This window comes from Homo sapiens, chromosome 1, assembly GCF_000001405.40.
Source record: "Homo sapiens chromosome 1, GRCh38.p14 Primary Assembly".
NCBI classification, from domain to species: Eukaryota; Metazoa; Chordata; class Mammalia; order Primates; family Hominidae; genus Homo; species Homo sapiens.
Genome location: NC_000001.11, coordinates 75612556 through 75631324, shown reverse-complemented (window position 1 = coordinate 75631324; position 18769 = coordinate 75612556). Strand labels below are relative to the sequence as shown.

General features: G+C 41.0%; 1 protein-coding gene across 7 annotated transcripts in view, besides 1 other annotated feature; it reads left to right on the top strand.

Moving 5' to 3' along the window:
* The window catches only part of SLC44A5 (solute carrier family 44 member 5), a 521887-nt gene that overhangs the window by 92691 nt on the left and 410427 nt on the right, over positions 1 to 18769 (top strand). For 5 of the 7 annotated variants that reach the window (XM_047449166.1, XM_017000608.2, NM_001320283.3 and 2 more), the window contains exon 1: positions 15162 to 15472. The exons of the other annotated variants lie outside the window; for them this stretch is intronic. In XM_047449166.1, the coding sequence (XP_047305122.1) occupies positions 15439 to 15472 (34 nt within the window). In that variant the 5' untranslated portion in view covers positions 15162 to 15438. Of the gene's footprint in view, positions 1 to 15161; positions 15473 to 18769 lie in introns of those variants that run through there. 7 annotated transcript variants of the gene reach the window in all.
* Positions 15163 to 15382: a silencer, noted in NCBI's record as "silent region_995". NCBI's record gives its function as "represses an Ori minimal core promoter by ATAC-STARR-seq in GM12878 lymphoblastoid cells {active_cell/tissue: GM12878}" and the evidence as "EXISTENCE:reporter gene assay evidence [ECO:0000049][PMID:35858748]".

Genomic DNA, 18769 nt, shown 5'->3' with positions numbered 1-18769 from the left:
GAAAGGATATGGTAGACAACAAGATGCACTGTTGGAAAAGTTAACAACAAAACAATATGTTTCCCATTCTAAAGAGAGGAACCAGACCATTCATGTTGAACTTTCAAAGGTCAAGGTTCTAAACTAGTTCTGCCAGCTGCAGTGATTCACTCCTCTCTAGTCTACATAAGAAGTTGAGGTTGAAGAGAAAGAGATTTATTTGGTGAGAAATTGACAGTGTTTTACATTTCACCCACCTTAAGTACCAGCCTCTGATGGAGAAGTGGATGTATTTTTTGATGGTACAAATACCCTAAATAGACACTGCAGAGCATGCTCGGAGAAGTGGAAATTGCCTCAGTGCTGGCACAGCAAGAATTTCAGACCCTGAAGAATATGGCTCCCCGGATAGGCGACTTAATGCCTTCTGTTGGTGTTCTAAGTTGTTTCTGAGTATTGACATAGTTGGGGACCTGAAAGACAGCGAGTCCATGTCTTTCTCTGACCTGGAAAATTGGGCAGTTGCCAATTCCTCTGAACCTCAGGTGAGCTTCTGTGAAATACACTTAAAGCATGGGGAGTTGCATCCACTGATCTCTTCTTATTTTATTTTTATCAATGACGGTTTATTTACTCTTTGGGAGTAAACAGGTAAAAACAACCTTCTGTAGAAGCCAAGTTGTCTTTTCACCTGTCCTTGAATTTGGACCAGTCAGATAGCCCAGTAATAGTAATAATAATAATAATAATAGTGAAAAAAGGCAGAATGTGGTAGATGCAGAATCCTCTCTCCTAAGGTTAAGGAGAGGCTTTTCTAGAGGACCACTTGGAAAGCTTTTGCATGTCTCCAGGAACTTGAGCATCTTACCAGTGAATATTCTAAAGCTGAGATGCTGTAGCTGGAACTGCCCAGTCTGGCGGCTGAACACGCAGGTGGCTGCTTTGTGACTGAGCTGTACTTCTTCATGTGGCAGGCTAATGGTGAATGTTTCTGAGACTTGATAAGGACCCTATGGAAATGATTGTAACCAAGAGTACTTGCCTGAAGGACAGGAACTGAGAGGTGGACCCCAGAAATCCAGCAGGCAGACAGAAAAGAGGCAGACAAGCCAATTGCCTGGGATTGATGAGAAACCCACAAAGGCACCCTACAGAGTCAGCTATTGTATTTCTGCCACCCAGAGGGCCCTGCGGGTAGATTACAACTGTAGCTGTCACAAAAGCTGTGCTGCATTTCCCCAACTCTTACCCTCCTCCCCACAGATATCAGAAACAATGACTAGCAAATTGGGGGGATGGAGCTAGAAAAAGAAAAGCTAATTTAACTCCTACTTACATAGGCTGGGGATAGAAGAAATTTAAATTTGAGTTTTGAGTTTGAAATTATATTCAATGGAGATATATCTTGTGCTTTCTAACTTGCTTTTAATGGTGTTGTGTGGTTCTCAGTTTGTTTTCTCAGCTTTGCGTTCTTCCCTTTCATCTTCAATACTGTTTTACACCTCATTTCTTTAAAAATTGATTTTATGTTCTCATTAACTTTTATATCATGAAGCACTGGCTGGAAATTATTTCTTTGTGAAGTTCTGCTTACTTCCAGCATGGTTTTTCATCTGTATTTGTATCCTTCTTTCTCATATGTATTTATTTTTGCTGATAATGTGTTTGCAAAGTTATTGTGTCCCTTCTTTTTATCTTTTAAAATACAGCAGTTTTGTTTAGGCCTTCTCTTCGCTGTGCTATAGTGTGAGTGAATTCCACTTGCTTTTCTATTACCTTAGATTCAAGGAGGAAGAAAGAGCTCAACTGTGGCTGTGTACAGTTGGAGGAGGATCCACACTCTACTCTCTTCTGAAATTTTAGTAAATGTTTTCTGTGCTAAAATCTTAATCTATTGGAGTTTATATTCATTACACTGAGAAGTATTCTTGGGCTTTGGATTATTTCTTCTAATCAACATGGAGCCCAGATTCTTTGTTTGCTTTAAAGAAAGTAATCTGGAATTTGGTTTTGTTTGTTGAGTTCTCTATTTCAATGTCATTAGCTTGTTTTATGTTTCCCTTTCCATATTTGCCCATTTCTCCCCAGTAGCAATTTCTCTTCCTCCCAAGCTCCTCTCTCTTATCTTCTGGGAAAAAAATAAACAACATAGGAAGTACATGTAGGTTACTTCCCTTCAGGCACTACACATGCTTCTTCTCCACTTTCCCTCCCTTAGAGACTCTTGTCCTAATTATTTTCTATTTTTTTCTTCCTTTCTGCTATATCACTATTTATTGTTGGAGATAATTAACTATGGGTGTTTATGATTGTTCTGCCATCATCCTCTCCTTTTTCACCCAGCTGGAAGATGCCAAAAGGGAGATTTCCAATAGTTCCCTTTTCTGGTAGAACATGCAACTAGTTGAGATGGGACTTTTCCCCCCTTGCAAAATTCTTTGTCTCCTCTAAGGGTTACTCATATTTCATCTAAAGCTACCTTTCCCATGTTATAGTGTAGGAGTAGGTGGTTATACTTTTCAGAGTTTTGTTTGCTCACCTTCCCTACAAAGTGCTTGTTTGGAGGATGACATTAAGAGGTTTGCCATACTGTTCTAAGCTTTATTCTGTAAATTCTTGAAAACTTCTTTGTGTCTTTCTTTGATGGCTACAATTTTTTGAATGTTATGACATGAACCTTTCTCTTGTTTGAATGCTATTTACTTTTTTTGCTGCTTTAGTTTTTCCCATTTGCTATTCATATAATTAAGTTATATGGGAAGGATATTTTTAAATATTTGGCTGAAATCCAATATCGAAACCTTAAACTCTCTTATTGCCATTTGTCAGTTGTAGAAATTAAAGGTCATAATGTTTAAGTGATTTGCTTGAAACACAGCTTATGGAAGAAAGAGGCAAGGTAGAGGCATGATTTGAATCTAGACCTGTCTTTTACCCTGTAATCAATATTCTATTCTGTAATCAATGAAAAGTAGACAGGATTTTTAAATAGGTGACTGATGAAATGAAACATTCATTTTAGGTTTGGGAACTAGCATGTGGTCTGATACAGATATGTGAAATCAATTTGCAGAGAGGGAACTATGAAAGCAGTGAAACAAATTGGGAAGGTTTTATAAAATCAGATATAAAGCAATGAGAGCCTGAGGCAGAGGGAAACTTCTTTCATATCCTAAAGTTTTGAATTTGGTAATTAGAATCTTTTTCTGCATAGGTTTCTAGGGTGCCATCACTCTGCCTATCACCTACTCAAACTTGTAAGAATTTTGTAAAATTAGGAAGCTGTGGGTTAGAAGGCAAGGCACAGACTAGCTTCTAGTCATTTATTTCGCCACGTACTAGCTGTAAGACCTATGTTAAATCATTTCAACTTGCTGGGCCTCAGTTTCCTTAGGTTTAAACTGAGAAAACTGAATTAGATGGACTATAAATTCTCTTTCAACTCATACTAGATGCTCAAGAAAAGCTGAATGAATGAATCAATTAATAATATTCCAAAGAATAAAGGAAGAGTTTCCTTTCCTGTGCAAATGGGAAAACTTAGAATCTGTCAAATGAAGAAAAAAAAGAGATTTGGGTTATTAACAGCTCTTCAATTAAAAAGTATTTATTAAATATCTATTATATACGAATTTCCCTTCTTCTTTAATTTTTATTTTTAATAGAGATGTGGTCTTGCTCTGTTGGTCAGGCTGGAGTGGGTGACATGATCATAATTCACTCTAGCTTCGTACTCCTGGTTTCAAGCAATCCTCCTGCCACAGCCTTCTAAGTAGCTGGGACTACAGGTGTGTGCCACCGTGCCTGGATATTTAAAAAAAAATTTTTTTGTACAGACAAGGTCTCGCTATGTTGCCTAGGCTGGGTCTTGAACTCCTGGCCTCAAATGATCCTCCCACCTTGGCCTCCTAAAGTGCTAGAATTACAGGAGAGCCACCACTCTTAGTCCCTTTCTTCATTGTAACTTGACATTCAGGGGCTCCCTAATCTGATCCCAAAATACTATTGCAACCCTATCCCCTACTGCTCTTGTTAAGGATTACTTACCACTGAACTAGGAACTAAGTTCCTATTATAATGACTAAGACAAAATCTCAACCCAAACAGACCTTCTAGTTTGACAGAGACAGACATCCACACAGATAATCAAGATATAATGTAAATGAAATAAATCTTAATGATAAAGGTATAACCGACATGTTACGGTAATACACAAAGGGAACCATTACTTCTCAGAAAATGAGTACCATTTATGACTCAAGGGATGACTAGGACTTTAAAAGATGGAGATGGGAAGTGAAAAAACAATGTGATTGAAAACAAACCCATATGAACATATGTGGCATATTTAAGGAATTATAAAGAATCCAGTGTGCCTAGAACATAGAATGTTGAGGGCAGAGAGTAGAAGAGAGGAGGCTGGGAAGGTGAACTGGTGCCAGGTAGCGGAGAACTTTACATGACATAGGAAGCTCATGCTGTACTATAAAAGCTTTAAGAACAGAAGCATAATATGCTTTGCTCAGAGTAATGTGAAGATAACCAAGGCATCAATGTGAAGATGGATTAGAGAGGTGAAAGAATGGAGTCAGGGAGATCAATTAAGTTTCAAGGAGAAGAAATTAAAAGAATTAAAGTTAAAAGTGGCGTTGCTAGAACAGAGAGAAGGGACTGAGCTAATGAAAAATAAGCCCAGGGAAGCAATAAAGATTTGGCTAGAAAAGGCAGGCTGAGAGGATGTACATGGAAAAGAAAGCAAATAGAATTCATCAAAAATTATATATTTGGCTTATTTTCTTGCAGCCCTCTGTGTGCATGGCTTGAGTATAGAGAACAACGGCAAGAGCAACACAAGAGTAGGCTGGAAAGAGTCATGAGTCAGATCATTCCTGTGTAGGCATCTTGAGTGTTTGAACTGTTTTTCTATGAGCAATGGAACACCATTGCAGGTATATTAGCAGGAGAGAGAGAGATGGTCAGCCTCCTCCCTTCCTCACATCTTTGTTAATTCTGGCTGGATTCCATAACACACTACTTCTTGTTTCTTATGAATCTCTTAAACTCTGTGCCCTGTTCTCCTTCTCTCAAATCCTTGTTACAAAACACACATCTAGATGAATCTGATCACTGACCTTCTCTGGTCCTTTACATTGACGGAGCAAAATAAAATGATTTCAGGCTTGATTCTGCTCTAAATAAATCCATTGCCTTTAACAGCATCTTGACCCTAATAGTGACTAAGATTCTTTCAATGTTTTCTTAATTATTCCTTTCCCCTGTTCTCCACAGTAGGCATGTAAAATCATTTCCGGTTTTCTCAGATGTTCTTCCCCACAACATACTTCCTCAAACTCAGCAGATAACTATATGCCCTACTTCAAAGAGAAACTAGAAGCGCACAGAAGCTTTCTTAACTTCTTGCCACCATATCTACAAACTGCACCCAGACCCACCTGGTGCACCAGTTAGGAAAGTGACTGCAAATATCAGTAAACACAACAGCAATTTAAACTACAGAAGCTTATGGTTTCTTACATTGGAAGGCTGGAGTCAGAAACTACAGGGGTATGGTGAAGATTTAGGATGGTAACTGGGGGACTAGACTACCAGAAATAAATAGACAGGAGTACCAGAAAATAAATAAATAAGAGACGCAGTATCACTGATAGTCCAGCTTCACTGGCCCAAATAGGGGCTCAAAAATTGCTGATCCTATTATTTTTTATTATGGGAGTTGTCAAAAGTCACAAAGTGTATCATTTGACAAGTTGCAACCAGAATTCAGATTTTCCGATTGAATATGCTTTGGTAACCCTAGTGAAGATAGTATTTTTGGCCTGCGAAACCAATGAATATTTAATTCCTAATAAATGCTTTGCCCAGTGGCTAATTACGCCTTGAATTAGTGGCATTTGTTACTTCTGGAAAGGCATAATCCACCTAGAGAAAAGGGATCTTTCTTCAGTTTTTGAATTGCAAGGCCAATTTTCTTGAGCCCTTTGTGAGACAATTGTCATGAAATCCAGGATTTTTGAAAGGAGGAAATAGTTTCTGGTTTCTAAGTTCCAAAAGTAGCCCTTTATAAACCAAAAGGAAAATTTAGCTCTTTGGAAATAGAATATTACAACAAGTCATAATGTAGAAGGCATGGAGGAGATGATACAAGGGAAGTCCCACCATATGAAAAGTAGAAAGTCCTAGGGGAGGAGTTAAGGGGTGTGTGTGGGAGACAAGTAAGTGAGAGATGATGCAGTGCCCTTTACTCACAGTGCGACTCAGTGGGTTCATAGTTTTTGCGGGAACTTTGGAACATCAGTAGCTGAGAGGTTGGAAGTCTCTGAGAGAAGCCCTGTGTCAATGTGAGGTGACACAGTAGAATAAAAATGGTGGCCGAACAGTGACTGGTGCACGTTATGGAAGAGATCTAGGGTTCTTTAGTGACCCTGAGGAGATATAAAGGGTAATTTAGAAAAAAGCATTCATATACTTGCCATAAGTCACAGCAGAGCTGGTTTCAGTAGAGGTCTGTGTTCAAAGGAACATCATAGTGATGGCTGTGAGTGGGCAACTCAAAATTGAGGTTCAGAGAGAAGATATTGCTAAGTCTCAGAGGACCCGCAGCATCAGTGATCATCCTCTTCTAGTGGAAGAAGTTTAGCTCTCATTTTCAAGGTCCAGATTCTCAACTGGAGCCAGAAGGACTCAGTGGTTGTTTCAGAGGACTTTGGCAAGAGCAGTGCTCTTTTTCATTCTCCAGATTTCCTCTTCTCTAATGGCCTACTGACCTCCCCTAGAGAGATATCTTTGGGAGAGAAGAGGGTACAGAAGAAAGATTGGAGAAGAGCCCCTCTAGTGTAAACTCCATTTGTAATAAAGCCTTAGCACTCTGAAAAAAAAATTAATGACTAACATATGAGGCAATATTTTGAGACCATATGCATATCATGTTCCCAACAACCTTTTATCCAATGATTCTGGCATCTGTTGATTTCATAGTTATTACATTGGGCATTGCAAAATGATGACTTTGTAATTCTATCATTTCTTCTACATTTATTAGCTCATATTCTTCTAAAAATAGTTAATATTTAGTTAATATTTTCTCTTTTGACTATCACTATGGACTTACACATTTTATTTTATTCAATGTATTAGAATACATTATCATAGTTAATCTTTTTGGGGCTCAGCTCTTCATATGTTTGATCAGTAGACAACCACTTCAAGCTGGCTCCTTTGTCCTTTTAACATGATCTAATTAGTCTGAGTTCTTTTGTGTTTTCTGACACATCAATATGTTCCAGGTTTACCTGGTACTTTCCCTGCTGCAGACCTGGAGTCATTTTTCCAAGGATCCCTGTTTCTTTTAGTGAATGATGGTATTTAGAAACCAAGATGTGGGTGTCATCTGTGCTCATGGCTATGGAGTACATTGCTTGTAGGTTCTTGAATTACTTTTAAATGGAAAGTTTCAGTATCAGTCCCCAACTCAATGACGGGCTCCAGAGCACAACTGAGGTGTGGTGTGCAAATTTAACTCTCAACCAGTTCTATAGCTATATCATTAGTTTATAGGGCTTATTCCAATTACCTATACAAGAACCAGGCTGGTACTTTTAAGTGTAAATTATATTATACCATTTCTCTGCTTAATATTATCATGTCCTAAGCTTCAGCCACATTGGTCCTTCAGTTCATCTCATTCAGGAGGTTCTGAAGTTGAAAGTGTCCAAGATGGTCCATTTTAAAAAAAAACCTTATCCTTTGAGACTTTCAAATTTTTGTGTATGTTTTATAATATATAATATATCAGTACAATAGTATACACAATATAAAAGTAACCAGATAAATGTAGTTGAAGAAGTGTGAGAAATTTTTAAAAAATTGGTGGGATGCTTGGTCAGTTTGGAATTTAGAAATTACTGCTCTGATCTTGAATTTCCTACCTGGGCCTTTCAGCATGCTGTTTTCCCTGCCTGGAGCAGTCTTTTCCCTACTTTTTGCCTAGTTCATTTCTGTCATTCATTTCTCTTTTTAAACATCACATTCTTAGAGGAATCTTCCTTGACACTCTCAATCTAAATTATGCTATATGTTGCCCTCTCCTATAGCACTATGTTTTTTGTTTTTCTTCTCATAGAACTTGTAACAATTTGTAATTATCTATTTATTTGGTTAATTCTATCTCCCTTGTAAAACTGTAAATACTATGAATGTATGAACTATGCTGTTTTATTTCTCCATTATATAACCAATCACTTAAAAGAACGACTGGCATATAGTTTTACTCAATGCATATTTGTTGAATAAATGTTTGATAGTTACTGCATTAAGAGAAGTAGAAAAGAGAAGACAAGGAAAAATACAATTTGGTTCATTGTCAAAAATATGTCAGAAGCATTTAGTTAATTGGTATGCCATTTGTTTTTTATGCAAATGATTCACTCATATATGAGGGAATGAGTTGGTAAACTGAGCCAAGGACCAAAGTTATAAACAAATTATAATGGGACAACTTAAGAACACTTTGGAGGTAAATTGATTAATTGGAAGCTGGCAGGAGTAATATAGAAAATTCTGTCCTTGAGCAGGCCAACTGGAGTATTAAAGAAACCAATTCTAGTTGTTTATGTATTTTTCAGAAAACCTTGAGAGTTTAACGGTGGATTATACACAACTATCTCTATGTAATGTCTGACAGTGTCCTTCCATTCATACTCTGTCTCACTCAAGCCAGGTCTGTGCCATTTCTCTTGGTGAAATTTCTGGGTTATATGATTAGATAACTAGCTTTAAGATTTCTTGGCCATCCCAAATGCTTTCTTTTTTTCTTTATTTTTTTTGGGGGGGTTTCTGTGGAGTTGAACTGCAATAAGCAGACACTTCACTGTGAGTACAAAGAAGTGCCCTATTAATTAACTCCTTCTAGAGGAATGCAATTCTAGAGGTTCGATGACAGTTGGCAAATTGAACTTGGCAAAATTAACAAAATTTTCCTCTGCACAGATTGAGCACAATATTTTTAATTGCTAGTAGTAATAGTAGTGTTATGGGTACTTTGAAAGCAGTAAAGTGTTGGGGGTGGGGTGAGGAGGACTCTCTTTGTGAAGGTTTTATCTAAGAAACTCAGAATTTGCATTTAAGCCCTTCAATGATGTTTCTGAATTTCATATCTTTCTGCCCAATTCAAACACACATAAATGAAATTGCATGTTTTCTGAGTTAAGGATCATCAATGTGATAATCAGAATGGAGTAAAGAGATTAAAAATTCTACAGGGTCTCACCCTAAGACCTTCTGTTTAATTCAGGTGAAATTTTATTATAGTAAGTATCTGTGTCAGTCACAAGAAAGGGAAGAAGTGTTATTTAAGTCTCATGTGTACATAATGGTGTGTGGCATGGGGTAGGAAGCCAACCTCAGTTTCTCCGCCCCTTCATATGTTAATTGAGTCTGTAAGTGCCAGAAACAAATTTTTTAAAAAATGGACTAGCTGGCTAATCTCATTCTCTTTCAACTATTATTTCTATTTTAACCTTTCCAGTCACAGAATTGTACAGTCCCTAAAAACCTCAGCTGAGGTGAATATTATGATTTTTTTGTGTGTAAAAATTTAAAATACAATGTGGTTTTTCAACAGTGGAGCAAGTTTGGATCATTTGACATCCTTCGATGTTACAATATTATTAAAATTGGTGGGACATTTGTTATTTCTTTTTATTTTTCTCTAAACTACGGTAGTTAATTTATGCACAGGTATTCAATGTAAAATATTTCAGTCAAAAATACTCTTCTGTGGGTCATATTTTTCAACCTTTTCACTGCAATTGCACTAACATACATTCATGGCAATCATGCTTTGTGTACTATGAATTACATTTTCATTTTTGTCTTTAGTATAATTTGTATAAGTTCATTATTCCTGTTGAGCTTACTTAATACTTCCACGTAGGAACATGTATTCCTTTCCTCATTCTGACTATTTCTTACTTTATGTGTAGTCTTGGCATGGCTAGAAAAATCTAAGAATAATGATTATACGACATGTAACTAATGTTACCATTTCAGTTCTGTGTCTATTTTTCAAAAGGGTTCATTCAGAACTATCCTTTAAGGGAAATAGAGATGAGGCCAGTTTTGTCCTTGTCATCATCTTCATTGTCAGAACCTTGTCATCACTATCAGGAAAAATGTGTGTCTCTGTGCCCAGAAGAACCACATGTGACTTAAAAAGTATTTCATTTACTGTGATCATTCTCATTGATGGCTTCAAGAATAGCCAGAAATTCTATCCATATACAGAAAACTGAAACTGGACCCCTTCCTTCTACCTTATACAAAAATTAACTCAAGATGGATTAAAGACTTAAATGTAAGACCTAAAACCATGAAAACCCTAGAAAAAAATGTAGGCAGTACCATTCAGGACATAGGCATGGGCAAAGATTTCATGACTAAAACATCAAAAACAATGGTGGCAACAAAAGCCAAAATTGACAAATGGGATCTAAGTAAACTAAAGGGCTTCTGCACAGCAAAAGAAACTATCATCAGAGTGCAAAGGCAACCTGCAGAATGGGAGAAAATTTTTGCTATCTATCCATCTGACAAAGGGCTAATATCCAGAATCTACAAAGAATTTAAATAAATCTACAAGAAAAAAACAAACAACCCTATCAAAAAGTGGGCAAAGGATATGAACAGGCACTTCTTGAAAGAAGACATTTGTGTGGCCAGGAAACATATGAAAAAATGCTCATCATCACTGGTTATTAGACAAATGCAAATCAAAACCACAACGAGATACCAGCTCACGCCAGTTAGAATGGTGATCATTAAAAAGGAAATAACAGATGCTGGAGAGGATGCGGAGAAATAGGAACACTTTTACACTGTTGGTGGGAGTGTAAATTAGTTCAACCATTGTGGAAGACAGTGTGGTGATTCCTCAAGGATCTAGAATCAGAAATACCAATTTGACCCAGCAATCCTATTACTGGGTATATACCCAAAGGATTACAAATCATTCTACTATAAAGACACATGCACATGTATGTTTATTGCAGCACTGTTCACGATAGCAAAGACTTGGAACCAACCCAAAGGCCCAACAGTGATAGACTGGATAAAGAAAATGTGGCACATATACACCATGGAATACTGTGCAGCCATAAAAAAGGGTGAGTTCATATCCTTTGGAGGGACATGGATGAAGCTGGAAACCATCATTCTCAGCAAACTAACACAGGAGCAGAAAACCAAACACCACATGTTGTCAATCATAAGTGGGAGTTGAACAATAAGAACACACGGACACGGGGAGAGGAACATCACACACTGGGGTCTGTCAGTGAGTGGGGGACTAGGGGAGGGATAGGATTACGATAAATACCTAATGTAGATGATGGGTTGATGGATGCAGCAAACCACCATGGCACGTGAATACCTATGTAACAAACCTGCACATTCTGCACATGTATCCCAGAACTTAAAGTATAATAATAATAAAAAGAATAGCCAGAAATTTAGAAACACCTATCACACAAATCATTTTTATAAATCATAATTAATTGCACCCAAGGCCTTGGTAATCTCTAATTCTAGGGACATTAGATGCCATCAGAATTAGAACCATACTCAAGGATTTGGTTCAGCCCTTGCTGTTTGGAGGTTAAAAGCAATTGATGAAATTTAAAAACAGACACATGGACACATAGCTCATAGTCTACATATTATTGGCAGATGTGTTCTGTTAGGCCTACCCTTTTTTGTGTTTGTGTTTTTGTTTTTTTAATGTATTAATCAACATCAAAAAGAATATTTCACCAGAAAATTTGGATTTCTGACTCCTGAAAAATCAGAATTCTTACAGCCCCGACGTTTTCATTCCCACAAGGCATCCTGCAGCTGACTAGTGGTACACACCCTCTCAGTTCTCTACAGTCCCCTTCCCTTGGTCAAGTACATCTATACAGCAACGCACTGCATAATGATATTTCAGTCAATGATGGACTGAATATATGACAGTGGTCCCATAAATTCATAATACTGCATTTTTACAGCACCTTTTCTTTCTTCCTTCCTTTGTTCCTTCCTCCCTTCCTCCCTCCCTCCCTCCTGCTCTCCGTCCCTTTCTTCCTTCCTTCTCCCTTCCTTCCTTCCTTCCATCCTCCCTGTCTCACTCCCTGTCTCACTCCCTGCCTCCTTCCCGCTCTCCCTTCCTCCCTCCCCTTCTTCCTTCCTTCCTTCTTTCCTTCCCCCCCCCCTTTTTTTTTGAGACAGAGTTTCGCTCTTGTTGCCCAGACTGGAGTGCAATGGTGCAGTCTCGGCTCACTGCAACCTCCACATCCCAGGTTCAAGCGATTCTCCTGTCTCAGCCTCCCAAGTAACTGGGATTACAGGTACCTGCCACCACACCCAGCTAATTTTTGTATTTTTTGTGGAGATGGGGTTTCACCATGTTGGCCAGGCTGGTCGTGAACTCCTGACCACAGGTGGTCCACCCATCTCAGCCTCCCAAAGTGCTAGGATTACAGGCTGAGCCACCATGCCCAGCCTTTTATGGCACCTTTTCTATGTTTGGATATGTTTGGATACACAAATACTTAGCATTGTTTTACAATTGCCTATAATATTCAGTATAGTAACATCTTACACAGGTTTGTAGCTGAGGAGCAATGGATTATACCACATAGCCTAAGTGTATAGTAGGCTATACCATGTATGTTTGTTTAAGTATACTTTATGGTGTTTGCACAAGGATGAAATCACCTAAAGACACATTTCTCAGAATGTATTTCTGTTGTTAAGCAATGCATGACTGTATATTTATACTGATGGTGTCATGTATTCTGTCTTACTGTTCCCTGCAGTCATTCTAATTGCAACCCTTGAACAAAAACACACAGTGTGGGCTATAGGGGAAACACTTGGCCTGGAAATCCAGGGCCTGGGTAGTTGTGGCCTTAATGTCTTTTGGTCTCAGTTTCCTCATCTGTTCAGCAGGGCTGAATAAACCTCTTTTGATGATCTTATGTGATTGTCATGACCTTAATTGAGATAATGCATGTAAGGACACTTTGAAGTGCTAACAGTGTAAAAGCATATTAATCACATCCATGTACCAAAAATAGTCCTAACTAGTCAACTAAATTTGAGTCTCCTCTGTTGAGAATAGTACTGACATTGTGGAAGGAATAAATTAGAAAAAGGAAACCATTCCTGGTCTGAAGCAGAAATATTCTATTTCACATAGGCAGCTAGTGTTGTGGAGAGAGCTGGGTATTGAGTTAAAAGAGTTACACCGAAGCTGTGGGCAAGTTATCATACCTCCACGAATCCCATTTCACCGTCTGTAAAACCTAGAAGACAGGACCTGCTTTTCAACTCATGGGTGTGGTCATGATTAAATGAAATAAAGTATGTGAAAGTAATGAATAAACAGAAAAACATTATTCTAATATAGGCAATAATTAGTAGTTGGTGATAAAATATGAGCACATAAAATGGACTGAAATATTTACAAAGTCTAATATTATACACAGTAAACATTTGAAGACCTAGAAGAGTAGTTTTTAATTAAATAAGAGGCAGCTGTTTGGAAGAGGAAAACTTTGAGTCAGTCTTATTTCTGATCATAAGTCTGAGAATGGGTCTATTTTGCTTATTAAAAGAAACATGTTCTTTGTTTTTTATTTCTGATGCACATCTTCATTGTGAGAGGAATTGGTCATTTCACATGTTTCTAGATTATTTACTTCAATATATTACATTATATGAAGCTATATTTAGAAGGGCTGAAAAAATAACTTGTGATGATTTTGTCACTAATATCTCAGGAGCTGGAAGAAATTTTTGAGATGATATCGCACATATCAGAAAACAGAAGAGCAGAGAGATTGAGTGACTTGTCCAAATTCTCAGAGCTACGAAGTTACAGGGCCAGAATTCACAATTGGGGTTTTTGACTTCACTGTTCTTTTTGCCGCACCACACTAGTACTGGGGCAACTTCTGGGTGGAGATATTGAATTAACTCACTGAATGTTTAGACAATCAGATTGGGCTGGGAACTGTACTAACCTAGGAGGAGGAAAGGAGAAGTGTTAAGAAGGTCACTGCGAATTAGGAAGTGCGTTTCGGCGGCAATCTCAGCTGCAGCATATAAAAAAAATTCGATATTGTAGCCTCTTCCCACAGTGGCACACCCTGGTAACCTCTCCCTACCCTACCCTTTAAGCGTTTCTTTTTAAGGTCCGATACTCCTTTATATTCTTAAACTTTCGCCTGCCCTTGCAGTTCTGGGACGCCAGCAGAACTTCTTTTCATCCCTTATCAGCACGCGAGGGGAGGACAGCTCCTCCAGGAACATGAGAACTTTCCAAAGCAAACCCCCAATCAGAGAGAGAAAGAACGTGGCCACTGTAACCAAGTTTCTGCTGGAGGCCAAGAAATCACACCTCCGGCTTCCAATTCCTCCAACATCTGAGAGCGTGAACTTCCCTCTTTTCCCACAGCCCCAAGGGAACTATCCTGGGCCCTCACTATTAAGAACTTCAGGGCCAGAACACAGCCATTCTTGCAGGTGTCTGCCCGTGGGCTGCCTCTGGAATTCCATTTCTCTCCCCTCCATCAGACTCCTGTTTCCCTCTCCCCTCTTTCCTTCTCGGTTCGGGAGGGGCAGAGGCAACCGCGCGCTTCGGGGCTCATCGCCCGCGTGGAATTCGGGCTCGCTATCCTCGAGGAGGCTGTGGAGGAGGACGGCTCCTGGGCCGGGTCGCAAGGGACAGTGCCGTCCTCCCGCAGGTGGCCAGAGTTCTGGTTGGCCTGTGAAGACGGGTGTCTTTCTTGGGCCCAGCGCGTCCTGGCCTTTTGAGAGGGGGCTTCGAAGGCCCAGAGGAAGGCAGGCCGGAGGCAGACTCCATCAGACTCTGCCTGGCTTTCTCCTTCCCGGCCCCAGATGGCCGCGGTCTCTCCGCGCCCCCCAGCAGCTCCCCGCCGCCGCCACCGTTGTCTTTCCAGTAGAGGCTGCTGGATGACGGCGCGGTAGCCGGTTGGATGGGGGCTGGCGGCTCAGACGGGACACCGGGGGTGGGGGCGTGGGGGAGGGAGGGTGTGGAGAAGGGGGAGGTCAGCGCTGGGCGGGCGCTCAGGGGACCCAGCGCTGCCCCCTCCAGCAGCAGGAGCAGCACAGCAGCCGCCGCCGCCGCAGCAGCCACCGCGTCCACAGCAGCGCAAGAGGGGGGCCAGCGGCGCGGCCGAGAGCAGAGGGGCGGCGGCGCCCGCCCCAGCCGAGCCGAGCCGAGCTGAGCGCGCAGCCCGGCCGCCGCTGCTGCTCGCAGATGCCATCACAGCAACAAAGAGCTCGCTGAGCTGAGAGCCGCGGCGAGGGCTCGCCTGGGAGCTGCGCGGCAGCCGGAGGAAGCGCGTGGGGGGTCCGGGGGAGGGAAGGGGACAGAAGATGGCCAAGAAGAGAAAGCCCCCCAGCATCAAGGGTGAGTCCCGCTCCCTCCTCCCCTCGCCGCCTCCCCTCTCTCACCCGCCCTCTGCCCCTCGGGCCGGCCTGTTTACATCCAGGCGCGGCCAAGTGGAAGGCTCCTGCCGGGGAAGAGTTTGCCGTGTCCGGGGAGGGGGTGGGGGAAACCGCGGCGCCGCTGCACCTCCCCTGGCCTCCGGGGACACTGACAGGAGTTTGTGCCCCTTTTGCAACCTGGGGAAACCTGGAGACTCCTCTCTCACCCCACCCCTTTGCTACTCGGCGAGCTTGGGTATCTATCTGTTGCACCTCCTAGCCTCTGGGCAGTGGGGAGAGAAGCGACTGGGCTCCTAGCATCTTGTCTTTTCCGGAATCTCTCTCTCTCTCCCTCTCGTGTGTGTGTGTGTGTGTGTGTGTGTGTGTGTGTGTGTGTGTATGTATGTGTGTGTGTGTGTAAGAGAGAGAGAGAGTTTTTCATGGTCTCTTCTATTCTTTTCTTCCAATCCCCCCTCCCTCCGCCCCTTCGTCCCTAGGGTGACAAGTTCTGCATCCATTTCCCCAACCTCCATCCTCAGGAGGAGATTGGAGCTGGCTGCCTCTCCTTTTCCCTGCGGTCAAGGGGACTTGCTACCGGCCGAGTCCCTGCAGGCTACTTCCTGCTCCCCAACCTGTCGAGACGGGCAGTGGCTCCGGCTAAGCAGTCTCCCTGTTGCTCCTTTGGAACCCGGGCTTCCAAAGTTGGAAAGTTCGCGGAGAGAAGCGATGGCGGGGAGGACAAGGAAGAGCTTGTTGCTGGGGTGACGAGGCATTGCGGCGTGGTCCGGGGCGCGACTCGGGAGGGAGCCTCCTGGGCTGCGTCTTGCCTAGGGGTCGCAGAGCCGGCGCGCGGGGAGCAGGTGCAAGCCACCCGCTCCCGCAGCGCGGACTCGCAGAGGTCGCAGCTTGTCGGCTCCCTAGCTCTCGCTGGGGGACTCGCAGAGCCCTAGAGGTTGTCTGCAGCACTGCAGAGAGGTGGAAGTGGGCTCGACACCATGCGCGGTGAGGAAGGCTGTGCGCGGGGGAACTGGACCTGAGGATGGTGGCAAGGAAGGGGCGTCGTTCGAAGTTGGATTTCAACACAATGGGCCCAATGACCTGGGAGGCAGCGACTTACTGAGCCTTTGGGGTTATATAAAAAAGGACAGGAACTCAGATGAGAACTGAGGGGTGAAGGGTATTACTGAATACATTGGCTTGGACTACAGCAGCGCTCAGGCTTTGGCGTGCTTTTTGCTTTTCCTCCCAAGTCTGGCTTGTGGGAGCTTAGCTCCGCTCTAGAGGTCACTAGGGGGACACAACTTTATCTTGGCGCGTCAGCTTGCTTTTTAATTGCTCCGGAGTACTCAAAGCACTTACTGGAAAGCGTTTAAAATCATGATCCTTAATTCTTAAGAAGACATTACTATGAAAACACCTGGGACTTTTTGTTGTTAAAAATTATAACCTATGTATGACAATTTTATTGCAATGCCTTTTCTTAAAATATTATAGCTCCTGTAAAATTAGAGGGGCTTTAAACCTCTGATTCCCCCCCTCCATAAATTAGCGCATGGGTATAGAGATACACGAGTAAAGAAAGAAGAGAGAATATATTCACCTACAAACAGATTCCTCTCTTTATCATAATATCAAATAATTAGTCTAAGCCCAGATTGACAAGGCGTATGAGCTACACTTTTGGTTCGCTCCTTTTTTATGGAGCCATATGGCACGATGAGTGAAACAGAAGGATTGGTTTTCAGCACTGCTGATGTGGCTATCCATTGGCAGAAATACATTTCATTCCCACCCCAAACCTTGCAGATTGTAAATGGTCCATGAAGAGTGGAAAAAATTTTACAGTTTTACAGTACATGGTAGCCAGAGAAAATCTTACCCTTGAAATTAATAATCTTGGCAGAAGCACAAAAAGATACAATTAGATTGATGAAATGAGCTCATATAAGAGATTTGATGAAAAAGACACCTCCCCTTTATTCTTCCGTCCCCTCAAAACACCAAAAAGTTTTTGTTTTGTAGGTCAGTATGGAATCATTTGTATTTTCTTGAATAAGTTTAATTTGATAGTGAAATAATTGAAGAATAGCAGTTAAGTGTTAACAGTTTCTCTGGAAGGATTAATAATCAAGCTTTCTTACGACATGTGGTCTCAATAAATTTTATGTAGTACTTTAAAAATAAGGTTTTCTCATGCTACATGTTTTTCTTAAAGGAAAAGTTATGTTACTTAGCTCCTATCAACTTGTGTTGAGTTGTTCTTGTTTTTTAAAACAAGTTCATTTAGTATTTCACAGAAAGAAGGACACCTTTAAAAACAAATCCTTGGAGTTTCACTTTAGCGAAGCAGGATGAATTGTGATATTTGATAGATGACAGAAGCAAACCCAGAAAGTTGTAATCTATTGACTTGCCTCAATTTTGCCTTTTAAGAGGAGAGCTCTACAAAAGCATCTGACTGCAGGCTTGCTGAACTGCTCTCAGATGTCTGCTTCTAAGCTACAACCAACTAAACTGGGACTGCCTGGTAGGAAAAATTTCTAGGCTTTATTGGCAGGGGCAGGCTACTGGGGTGAACTTTGCTGGATAAAACACTGTAGATTTAGCAATATTCCATGCTGTGTTGGTTATTCTCTTACAAGAGCTGCTTCTCTGCTTAGCTACACCGCATGCAGGGAGAGATCATTCGTCGGATCTTGTGACAGGCAAGTTGCTCATTGGCTTCTGAAGTCCTAGCAAGAGAGACTATCCATAAGCCTAGAAATTGGCCAAAGAGAAATGCAGTTTCTTAACATTGATAGAAGAATAAGATCTGTTGGCAGGATTTCTCAAGGGACATTAGCATTCATTTGTGACATCTCATCAAAAGGACAGTCTTTCAGAAAGGCCAATGGAATCTTTTACAATCCAATATTGATAATGTTTTTAACGAAAAAATGCTATAGTTCATAATCAATACAAGTCTTATAAATGCAAGCTGGTTACATTGGTTATAATCACGTCACCACCCCCACCCCTGCCTTTTCCAATATTAGTACAACAAAGACTTCTTGCTCAATTACTTAAGTGTAAAACTTATGTTTAGGTTAATTTATTCATTTATTCATTTAGCACATATTTATTGAGCACTGAATATGTACCAGATTCTGTGCAAAACACTAGGGATACGGTAATGAACATGATAGACAATGAAGTAAGAGGAGGCCTGGAAGAAGCAGGTGACAAATAATATGAACCAGAAAATTTCACATAGTGATTAATACCAGGAGAAATAAAACAA